We start from the raw sequence: 12,349 nt of genomic DNA, 5'->3' as shown, positions 1-12,349 counted from the left end.
TCCTTTTCTCCCTAAAAGACTCCAGTAGCCTCATATTGCTCTCAGAATAAAATTCCAATGTGTTACCAAGACCCATGAGGCCAAGTGAGATTTGGCGCCTGACTGCTTCTTTCAGTTCACCTTGTATCACTTTCATCTCCCACCATCTCTATCACTACCTTCTAGCCACACATCTGGCTTTCTGTCCTGAGGTCAAGCTCATCCCTACCTTGCCTTAGGCATTTGTGTCACAGTTCCCTTTGCCCAGAATGCTCTTTCAGGGCTCTCTCATGGCTGGCTTACTTTCACAGCTCAGCCTTTTTACAAAAGTCACCTTGTCAGAGAGACCCGCTTTCACCATGCTGTCAAATTACACCCATCCTAGGTTGTTCTTCTACCACCTGTATTTTCCTGCTAGGACTTGCTCCAGTCTATATGTATACTACTTGCCATTTGTTGGTTGCTGTCTTATCCATGGGTATGTTCCCTTTGTTCCTGACTCAGCGATGCTCAGCAAATGTTTGTAGAGTGAGTGAGTGATCCTGCTAGGTGAGATGGTCTATCCTAGGCATTGGTGTTACAATGGTGAATGTAACAGATGCCTGGACCTGTGGCGTTTATAGTCTAGGAAGAGTAATACAGAAAAATGTATACATCAAAACATCATTTGTTTATTCATATTTCAACCTTACTTGACCCAGAGCTCCTTTTTAATAACAAATATTTCATAATGTTTTTCATATCCTGATATGAAGCTTATAATATAAACAACTTTGATGCATACTTTGATCAAATCAACATTTTCATCAATGTTAGAAACAAGAGCTCAGAGTTTCAAGGAAAATGAGCACTCAAACAAAGGATTTCTCAGTAAGGCAAATTTACTTCTTCAGAAGGGTGCCACTTGCACTTTTGGCTGCTGTGAGAGCACACCAAACAAAGGAGAGAAGGTGTTTTTATTCGTAATGCAGTCCCTATCCCTGTGTCCTTCCCCTATTAGCTAGGGTTGGACTGCACAATCTAGGCTGACCCTGGTTGGCTGACTTAAACTTTTCCAATTAAGGTAAACGTTCCATCTGCAAGGGAGGGAGGCGGAAGGAGTGGTCCCTCTGCTACAGCACAAGGCATGTTCGGACATGTCTGGGCAAGTCAGGGTGCACAACGAGAGTGGGAGGGCTGCTAGCAGGCTAGAAACAAGAAAGTACAAGGAGGTGAGGCCTCTGAACCAAGGACAAGGACATTACTCAATTAAACCCTTTGAAGAGGAATTCACCATCTCTGGTAATCAACAAAATCATACTTTTATAAAATCCAAATATAAAAAGTAATACAAAAAGATTCATTTATAATACAATTATATTATTTGTTACCTTGATACAGTATTCTACAACACATGTACTTTTTCTTTATCTTTTTTTTTTTTTTTTTTTGAGAGAGATGGGCTCTCACTTTATTGACCAGACTGATCTCAAACTCCTGGGCTCAAGCAATCCTCCTGCCTCGGCCTCCCAAAGTGCTGAGATTACAGGCATGAGCCACCCTGCCCAGCCACATCTACTTATAATGAACAACATGTTTAGATTTGAGAGAAATATGACAATAAGACAATATATATCTGAATATAATCAATACTTTTTATTATAATTGCTGTTTCAAAATTGAGGCTTAACATACACATTTAAATTCATAATGACTGTCAAAGCTACAAGTACCTACTGATATTGGTGTATCATTAGCAAGACAAACAGAACGTCAATACTGATGACTGAATGCTTTATTGAAATAGTGAATAAGTCTTGATAAAGTTATGAAAAAAAATATGATCTTCCCTTGATTTACCTTACAGTTACATTCCTAGAAAATTTCGCATAACACCATGCAAAAATGCCATTTGTTTATGTGTAAAATTTACTTAGGTTCTAGGCTCAGATTATCATAAACTGTATTTTCCACCTCCCGAGGGCCTGGCAAGGTATTCAGAAAGTTTGGGGGATATAGGACAATTTTTCTTAGTATAGGTCTGATGAATTGCAAGATTTCTAACATCTCTGATCTCACTCAGTAAAAGCTTGTAGCATCAAACAGTTGTAATACCAAAAAGTTCCCCCTTGGGATGAAGCTATCCTTGTTGAGAATCACTGACTAAATTAAACAAATTTATATACTGATGGCCTGCCAGGTTCTAATCCTGTTTTTAAAAGAAAATGAAGCCCTTATTTCTGAGAGGATGAGTTAACAATGTTGACAGTGATGCCAGAGCATTTGGGAAACACTCAGGAGTGTAGATGGGTTGCAGAATGAACCTTAGTGTGACCCTTTGACAAACTTCCCATCCTGGCCTCCTTCCACTGTTCAGCAGAATCTGTGTGGGGTATACATGGCAGATTCAGAACTCAGCTCCTTGGGATTAGTCCATTTGAAGAAGTGTCCTTCTCTACTGGAAAGTCTTCTGAAAATTAAAATGCAAGGTACTTATACTAACAGGCCGGGCGCGGTGGCTCATGCCTTTAATCCCAGTACTTTCGGAGGCCGAGGCGGGCAGATCACGGGGTGGCAGATCACGAGGTCAGGAGATAGAGACCATCCTGGCTAACACGGTGAAACCCCATCTCTACTAAAAATACAAAAAATTAGCCGGGTGCGGAGGCAGGCGCCTGTAGTCCCAGCTGCGCGGGAGGCTGAGGCAGGAGAATGGCATGAACCCGGGAAGCGGAGCTTGCAGTGAGCCGAGATAGCGCCACTGCATTCCGGCCTGGGCGAAAGAGCGAGACTCCGTCTCAAAAAAAAAAAAAAAAAAAAGCATACTAACATCACACAAACATTAGAAATACATAGTAGACTAAGAGACACATACATAAGTGTATCTGAAAATGAAATATTTTTGTTAAGCTTCGTAAAATATTTCCCAAGCTTGAATAGATATGCAGGAGGGAGAAAAGGAAGTTGCAGAAAATTTAAATCCACAAAATCATTCAGCCTACAATTTCGAATCTATTTCAATTAACGAACAAATATTTATTAAATTCTATGTGTGTTTCTCTATACTACTCATTCTTTTTATTTTAATCTTTTTTTTTCCTTTCCTAAATCATAAACTCTTCTGTGAAGAAACCAAACTTCTTCTGTAGCTTATATTGTACCTAGCATGACTCTTGACACAGAGTAGAGATAACATTATTTGCTTAGCCCAGTAGTTCTCAGAATACATCAGAATCACTGGAAGACAGAGTTTGATTCAGTAAATATAGTGGGGCCTGGAAATTTGCATTTCTGAGAAGTTCCCAGGTTATGCTGCTGATGATGATTCAGGGGCTACGTTTTGAGAATCAATGACTTAAAGCATAACATTGTGGTAAAGAACTCAGGCTCTAAAACAAAATGGGCATAGGGTTGAATTCCAGCTGCACTGCATATTAACTCTGTCCCCTTGGGCCATTTACCTAATTTCAAAGCCTCAGTAACTCCTCATTTAATTAATGGGAATGATAATATTTATTTCATCAGTTTTGTGAGCACTATGTAAGTAACACACATTACGTACTCAGCAGACATCAGTTATTTTTATGGAGCTTTCTCTACCAAGAAAGGGCTTTGGGTTACTTAGAGAAGGTATTATTGCACGGTGTATATGATGAATAAGTATTATAATGGAGGAATTCTAGGAAACACTTCAACTTTGGGTTTAATGATTTTCCCATGGGTCTACCTGAATTAGGGAGGTCATTCAGAGGATTGTAATGTGTGGTGGGTTGTGGGGGAGAAAGTCAAGTACCCATTTAGTTGGTAATTAAAATATTGCTGAAGGACTGGCTGTATTTATATGAAAACAGCTCAATTTGCCTACAGCATAAAGTCGCTGTCTGGGAAGAAATGTAATATTCAAACAGCCTGTAATCAAAAGAGCTACTCCACACCTGGGAAAAGCATCTTGGTAATTTTGTGAGTAGGACAAAAGCAGAAATCAACAAATGCTTTTCTTTACAGCAGCAACAATAATGGTAATTTTAAGCAGCTACTTGTTTTTTTCATTTTTTCTTCATTGTGATGATTCCTTTGTTTGTCACTGAGCATAGGAAGTTGCAAGGTTTAAGAGTATAGCTTGTGTCCTCATGAGATAAAGGAATCAGGCCCTTTCAGAGAATGGCTTGTATGCTCTGAATATGATACTCACAGTAAATTACCAGTTAGCCCTGGAATGAGCCATCTGGATTACAGTCTCATGTGGCTGGGGAAGAATTTAGGGTGGTCCAGTCTCCCCTGCCCTCTTCCGCTGTTTGAATGCCTTCTAATGATTTCCTGCCAAGCTGTCCAATGTATTCTTCAATGCTGTTAGTGTCATGTGACTCATCTCCAAAAGAAGTTTAATCTGACCTTGACTAGATTTTACTGTAAGAAATTTCTTTCTATTGAGCTGAAAACTGAATGATCTTTTCAGATATGTAAAAGCAGCTACTGGGGCCTACCTGAGTCTTTTCTTCTCTTGACAAATGTTTTCATGACATTGAAGACAATTACTTTAGCAGTTTAGATATAGGGTAACTTTGGGTTTTAGTCCTAGAATATATCATTTACATTTTTTTTTTTAGTTGACATCCAGAGAAGTTAAGAGCTCAGGCAAACATCACCTAGATATGACTAATATTTACCTCCCTCTTATTGTCTTCATTTTTTCTCTGTCCTTTCCATTTAGGTTTCCTGTAGGCTCTGGAATGAAGGCTGTAGCATTCTTGGAGGCATCCGTATTGGATAGACTTATTCACCTATTCATTTATCAAAGAAATATTTATTCCTGAACATATTCTGTGTACATAGATTATGTTAAGGGCTCTGGGTCTATAAAGATAATAACAAAACCCAGGAGGCAATTAGCTTTTATTTGTATATTAACTTGACATCACTAAAAGTGTCTCTCTTGAGCTTCTTCATTGTTCAGTGGGAATAACTGATTATTAACAGCTGTCATGAGTATTGTAGAAAAGGGCTTCCATCCTCATTTTGGTGTTCAGTGTATGTGTGTGTGGACCCTATTCTAGGCCCTTGAGGAGTCCATAAATATGTTACAGGTAGTTAGATAGGTGTGAGCGGGGCAGGAGAGGGCTCTCCCCCAACCCACTGGGAATATCAGGTGATGGTTCAATAACTATCACACTACATCTCTAAAGCCAGGGAGAGGACATTTCCTGATTATCCATAGCTATTAACGTTAAAGTGTGAATTGAATATGGATGCCAGGGAGAAAAACTTCCTGGGTATGTGCCTTAACAGACAAGATGATGAAGCACAACCTTCCTAGTACACTCCACAGGAAAAAGGAAGAAAGCCTCAGATGGGCATGTGTACACCTTCCTAAACACACTGCCCCTGCTCAATTCTTAAGGGTAAGGAGGGTACTGAGCATTTGGGAAGCCCATCCTAAGGGAAGAATCATGGAAAAGAGGTGAGCCTAGAAAGCCCTAGGATCAAGGTTAAATGCCCCTTTTTCTCTCTTTGACCTTCAGGAGCCCTCTTGGATCTCTGCCAAGTGAACCTTTTCTTTCATGTTCTGAAGCCTTTTTAAATAAACTTCCACTCCTGCTCTGAAACTTGCCTCAGTCTCTTTTTCTGCTTTATGCCCCTCAGTCAAATTCTTTTTTCTGAGGAAGTAGGGACTAAAATTGCTGCAGAGGCCTACAGATATGCCACTGGTAACTTGGGGTAACTCGGATCTCTTCCACCAGTAACGAATACATACCAAATAATACTAGACATGGGAAGTGCTGCTGGAGGAGAGAAGGAGGAGGTCACCATGGGCTGAGAATACTTTATGAAAGAAATGTGCCTTGAATTTGCATGGGTAGATGCAAAAAAGGATGACATTTCACACAAAAAGAGGAGCAGAAACAAAGGTATAGAGAAAGGAAAACCTGTGTTCGATTTGGGGCAAGGAATAAATTAATAGATGATTTTTCTAGAAGAAATGGTCAAGGAGAGGCTTAATAAATAGGAATGATATCAAACTAGAGTCAGGATGTCCAGAGAAGCTTTTGTGTAGTTGTAGTAACTGTAAAGACTAGCAATAAGATACAACAGGTTCTTCTCATTTTGCCACTAACTTTTGGCAAGAGAGACAGAGGCCATGTTTATATCAGATGTGGCTAAATTCCAAGCCAATATATGCAAGTTCACATTGTAAGTATAGAAAGTAGTTTATTCTACACAAAATAACATGAATCTAATGCCATGGCTATTTTCAGAGCATCACTCTAAGAGTGTCTGCTAAAATAATAGTGCACATAAATGAAAATATGCTGGAATGTTAAAAAGTCTGTCGTATAATGTTGAGCTTTTACTGCAAGACAGCAAGTTTGAAGTGTCCCTGGAGCATGTATTCTCAATTGGGGCAATATTGACACCAAGGAGGCAAAAATTAATTCTTGGTGGTGAGAAGGGGATCCTACTCTTTATGTGTAAAGTACAGCTGTACATACTATATATAAATAGATACACAATATATCTATGATCTTAACATTTCATAGGGAAACAATTAGGGGGAAAAAGTCCAAAGGGTTCCTTGGGAGGGGATAATAACGAAGAAAAGATTGAAAAGCAAGGCCCTAGAGAAAAGCCAGGTAGTCTAATCCATATTAGGCATGTGTCAACACTGGGTGCATTCTTGGAGCTCCCAAGAATAAGCCAACCTGGATGTTTACTGTGGCTGCTCTTTGTTGTGGGGGCACCATTTTCCTGTTTTTATAGCTGACTTCTTCTGGTTGACATACTACTTTTTTAGGTTTGTTGACTCTAGTGTCATACCTGGTTTGTTGATAAGAAGTCAAGATGACTTTACATCCTTTTGCTCTAATCCATTTTTTATTGTTTAGCTTTCAGCAGACGGTGTTGTTTACATCTGGGTTGTAAGACCTCTTCACGGTATTCCTCTAGGAATCTCACTACAATGACATAACTTCAGAGCCTTCTTGGGAAACACGGTTGGAGGACCATAATGTTCTCAGTGTGTGGATTGTGTACCACAAACAGATTATAGGCCTCCACTCATAACCACTGAGTAATTTGTGATGGCAGGCCTGGGGAATCTGTACTTTTAATAAGCACTTTAAGTGATTCTCACTGCTGCTCAATTCTGTTTTGAAAGGAATGCTCTGAGGCAGCTCTTGAAGCAAGATTTTCCTATTGCAGGAAGAATGATGGGACCTTCCTTCTTAGGTCATGATTGAACCAGTGGATCCTAGTCTCTATAGAAACTGTATTTTTGTATTTAATGTGAATCCTTCAGTATGTCAATATTTATCCTCAAGAATTACTAGCAAAGTTGTAGGGCGAAAGGTTTGTTGTCATAAAATCTATCACCACATTTCATTCCAAAATATGTAAATGTCTCTAAGCAAATGTATCCTTCAGCTAGATGGAGAAGTCCTTTTAACACTATATCTTTGAAAAATTATGTTGGACTGATAGAAAAACTTCTGGGCCAGGTGTCTGAAATTTAAACACCAGCTCTGTAACTAGCCTGATTCTGCCCTTAAGCAACTAGTTGAGCAGATTTGGGCTATAGTCACCAAATTGGTTAAAGCAGGATAAAAACTTCCCTAATTATTTGGCAGAATATTTGGATATTCAAAGTAAGGAACTGTTGCTAAGGCATCACGAAAAAGTAAAAGGAATTTACAAGAATATAAGATATTATTATTATTAAAAACTGACTCCCAGATGTAACCATGCTTGTGATAGGTAAAATAATTTTTCCCATGTTGTTCTAAGCTAATGGTGATGGGTTTGAAAAATTTTGAGTTGAAGAGGATTTAAAGAAGAAGAGATTAGACATTGTAAGTCATCACTGAAAGTGAATGTATGTGCATGAATGTGAAATGACACTCCTAGAATTTCCCAGGAACCAACAGTGACATTTAAGCAACAGAAAATATCAGTAGAAAGAATCATCCCACAGAACACAAATTTATGTCAAGAAGGAAATAGAAGTACGTTGCTCCTTCTCAAAAGGAAAGACTTTACAAAAACATTAATAACATGTCTATCATGCAGCCTTCTTTACCAAAGGGGGAAAATTATTTCCTTATAGATCTTCTTTTGAAGTAACAAAAATGGGTGCCAGCAGTTTCAAGCAATATGTTTTTCTAACTTACCAATCCTATTAAAATTAGAAAACCTACTTGTTGATATATCCAGCAAAAGTTCTTGGTAGGGGTCTTATGGCTGCCACTGGGTCATGCTCCCATCTCCAAGGCAGTTGTCATGGCTGGAGAATGTGGTGCTCCAATCAGGTAGGCAAGATCATTGTTAATCATGGTCTTGGGAGTGGGGTTAATTCCACCTGTACTATATGATCTGCAAGTGCTGGAGAGTGACTACTAAAAGGAAAAGTGGGGGTTTGCTAACAGAAGAAAGGGGAATGTTTAATGAGATAGCACAGACATAGGATTCTACTTCAACCATTTATCTTTGCTGGAAGTAATACCTCATCCTATAAAAATTTCTGTAGGATTTGACAGCTTTTTTCCAACTCCCTTCCTATTAATAGGTACTATTATTAATATCTGTACACACATCTTATGTCCCTACTAGCCGTAAGATCCTCAAGACTAAGTGGAAGCTCCTACTCATCATTCTATTTACTACACTGCCTTGCAAAGGATGTTTTGTTTATTTTCTACCCACTGTGGAAATAAAAACACGGCATTTAACCATCCTAGACCTGATTTTTGAAAAGGACATTGTAATAGGGCATTTCTAAGCCCCTTTCTAGTGTCAAAATCATTCAGTTCTACGACAGAATCAAATAGTTGTTGAGTGGATGACTGACTGCAATAAGGAGGAAATGCAAAAACTGTTGTACTTTGGATTTGCTTGGTTATGCTTCAGGAATGTCAATTACAGACTGAGTCAAACACCCAAATCCAGTAGCTCAGAATGTTCAATTTAAATATGATCTGATAGAGTATTTTTTCCTCACTCTGGTTTTCTACACATGGAATGCATAGTATTTGAAATTGTTTTCCAGTTTGCTGCTTTCATGTGGGAGGATGCAAAGAGGCTGCGTTTCATGGAAAGAAAGTGAATCAGAGCTTATTTTGTTAGTTCATATTAGATGAAAAGCCTTAACGTAAATGGGTTATTAAACCCAGAGAATGTGAGTAAAAATAAAATTGAGATATATAAATAATTGGAAATAAATAAGCGATATCATAACTGCTGGCCTTAGTTGAGTATTTGAGTATAGTTAAACACTATACTATGTGAGTATATGCTTCATCTTATTTAATTTTATAGTGATCCTATGAACTAGGTCTGTTATTCCCAATGGACAAAATGGAAAACAAGAATGAATTATGAATTTTCAAATTTTCAAAGAGATTAAATGGTTTGCCCAGAGGAGACACAGAAGCAGAGCAAAGATCCTCATGCCAAGTGGTTCTGGTAGGACCCAAACATTCAAACCACTATATTGCGTTCAGATACACTACATCAATGTGTGTTATTTCTTCCCACAGATTCCCATACTTGGGGTTTTTGCTCAGGTTTGAAAAAATTATCTTTCTGTCACTTACATATTTTTCTAGAGATGAAGAAACAGATTATTTAGATAATTCATGTGGCTTGTCAAGGGGTACACAGTGACCACAGTAGTCAGTGAGCTTGTGTCTACATGACTAGGTGATTTTAAAGAATCCTAAAATCTCATGGCTGCAAGAAATTCTATCAGCCATTTGGTACCAACACTCCCCTAAACTGACACTTCGTTTTGCTGTGATTTTTGAATGCAACATTGATATGGTTTTGCTGTGTCGCCACCCAAATCTCATCTTGAACTGTAGTTCCCATAATCCCCGTATGTCCTGAGAGGGACCTGGTGGGAGGTAATTGAATCATGGGGGCAGTTACCTCCATGCTGTTCTTGTGATAGAGAGTGAGTTCTCATGAGATCTGATGGTGTTATAAGGGGCTTTCCCACAACTTTTGCCTACATTTCTCCTTGCTTCCCACCATGTGAAGAAAGACATGTTTGCCCTCCCTGGCCATGCTGAACTGTGAATCAATTAAACCTCTTTCCTTTAAAAATTACCCAGTCTTGGCTATGTCTTTATTAGCAGCGTGAGAACAGACTCATACAGACATTATAGAAGTTAAAAACCGTACATGACACAACCTAACGCTGTCATTATAAAGGTAATGGGATTATCTGCCCAGAGTCATCAGCATATGCTTTGGTTGGATCTGTGTGCTGCAGAGGAAAAAGTATCCATTTGGGAATGCTAGGGTATCTGGATTTGCAATGGCTCTTCCATAGAGTAGAAGGCCAGGGCAGGACCCCATCCTAGAACCTGGTATCATCCATCTCTGTGTTTGTTTTACACCAATTACTGTAAAACCAAACCAGGCAATTAGCTACATGTATGTGAGTGTGTGTGTGTATGGATAAACACTGAAATAAGGTGAACATAATCAGGCCATAGTAGCCAAATCATAGGAAGACTCAGCTGCACATAGGAATGAAGGAACAGCACTCAAGACAGTACACATTTTGCTAAATGGTGAATTAAATATAGTAGATCACATAAAATGTTTTTAAAATCAATACTGCTATAGTATTCTTAAACAAATCTGTAGATTTCTTTGTGATGATAGCAAATTGCATAGAACATGGCATGAATAGTTAGCATCTAACCTGAATCCAGAGCCTACCTCTGTGTGTCCTATTATGGGGTGTTTTCACCTGTGTCTCTCTGACCCGATTTCTTGAACCCACAGTAGTCTCCCAACATTTTCTACTTTCACTCCTGCATACATGCAAGATGAAGAGAGAAAGTCAAATGATAATCACTTTTTATTATGGCCTTGGTGGCTAGATGTTGCAGCCAAGGTGCCTCTATGCATTTCTGGACATCTGAGACATGTTATATCTGACCTCTCAACTTCCCAGTTAGCTATTTTCTGCGCCCCTTGTGCAATTATATCTTTGTTTCTTCAAATCAGAGAAAGCAGAAGAAACTCCTTGACCTTTTTCTATTTATAATTCCACAGAGAGTAACAGAAAATATAAACATAATGGAATGAAGCATCTCATTATGTAGATTCCCCTTACGTTTGCCCCAAACTCATTGATGCTGGGTCTTATGAAAGACAACAGGAATAAAAACTGAAGAGTCAGTTGCTGTTTAACAAAGCCATCATCCTCAGCAAGCTTGGTCAGGTCAGCTGTCACATCATTAGCCAAGAATTGGACAGTCTTCATGAATAGTTTTTAATTCATTAGCACTAAGTGGCATGATTGATTTACAAGTATTAATGATTTGCCACTTTTATCAAAGGGTCACTGGAGAGGGGCATCTGTTGAGGATATTTAAGTTCTACAGATCCTAGCGGCCAATTTATTAATGAACATCTAACTCTAGCTTGTTATCTTGTTTCCATTAAAGCACTATTATTTTAGTAATAGCTTTTCAAGGAAAACAAATTTGCTTAAAATGGGGGTAGTATATTTAATATTTAGATAATATATGTTCTGTATTACCTATATATTGTGTAAAATACACATGGTAATATAATTTGTATTATATAACTATTATTACCTTGTTACACAGTATATTATTTTGTCATACAATTTTTCTAGATAATATATTTGTTATCTACAGATATATAAATAGTAAGATCTTAGTTTTAAAAATAATGTATTACAAATACAAAGCAAGTCTGCCAGGCGCGGTGGCTCACGCCTGCAATCTTAGCACTTTGGGAGGCTGAGGCGGGCAGATCATCTGAGGTCAGGAGTTCGAGACCAGCCTGGCCAACATGGTGAAACCACATTGCTGCTAAAAATACAAAAAATTAGCCAGGCATGGTAGCATGTGCCTGTAGTTCCAGCTACTCAGGAAGCTGAGGCAGGAGAATCACTTGAACCAGGGAGGCAGAGGTTGCAGTGAGCCAAGATTGCGCGATTGCACTCCAGCCTGGGCGACAAGAGCAAAACTGCATCTCAAAATATATGTATATTTATAAAGCAAGTCTAGATCATTATATTTGTGTGTATACAGGCATATCCATACATATGATACTTCTGCTTCTTGCCTACTCTACTAAGTTGTCATCTGTTTACTGTGCTAACAGGAAGCTGCCCTCTAAAGATGCTCCTAAACTGACAGAAAATAGTCTTTCAGCATCCCAGATCCAGCCCAGGTGGCCTAGGCTTAACTTTAGTGAGACATAATTGTATGACTTTATGATTGTAATGAAGAGAAATTATGTCCACATAATGACACCATACTCAGTCTCAAAAACAAATGAGCTATTCCACACAAGATGAATCTGCACTTCTATAAAAGGAGAGAACAAAGATGTAAAGTTTGATAATGTCTTT

The 12,349-nt window shown here is 38.6% G+C and overlaps 1 long non-coding RNA gene across 1 annotated transcript in view, besides 2 other annotated features; it reads left to right on the top strand.

Annotated features, from left to right (window-relative positions):
• Nucleotides 1-12,349, top strand: part of LINC01470 (long intergenic non-protein coding RNA 1470) — a 353,385-nt gene that overhangs the window by 159,065 nt on the left and 181,971 nt on the right. The gene's annotated exons all lie outside the window — the stretch shown is intronic.
• Nucleotides 421-1,620: an enhancer, noted in NCBI's record as "P300/CBP strongly-dependent group 1 enhancer chr5:152191225-152192424 (GRCh37/hg19 assembly coordinates)". NCBI's record gives its function as "activates an origin of replication core promoter dependent on BRD2, BRD4, P300/CBP, MED14 and CDK7 cofactors, with strong dependence on P300/CBP, by STARR-seq in HCT116 cells {active_cell/tissue: HCT116}" and the evidence as "EXISTENCE:reporter gene assay evidence [ECO:0000049][PMID:35650434]".
• Nucleotides 952-1,211: an enhancer, noted in NCBI's record as "active region_23470". NCBI's record gives its function as "activates an Ori minimal core promoter by ATAC-STARR-seq in GM12878 lymphoblastoid cells {active_cell/tissue: GM12878}" and the evidence as "EXISTENCE:reporter gene assay evidence [ECO:0000049][PMID:35858748]".

The sequence above is a fragment of the Homo sapiens genome, chromosome 5 (assembly GCF_000001405.40).
Source record: "Homo sapiens chromosome 5, GRCh38.p14 Primary Assembly".
NCBI lineage: Eukaryota > Metazoa > Chordata > Mammalia > Primates > Hominidae > Homo > Homo sapiens.
Note: the sequence above shows the minus strand (reverse complement) of the source record. Positions and strands in the feature narration are given on the sequence as shown.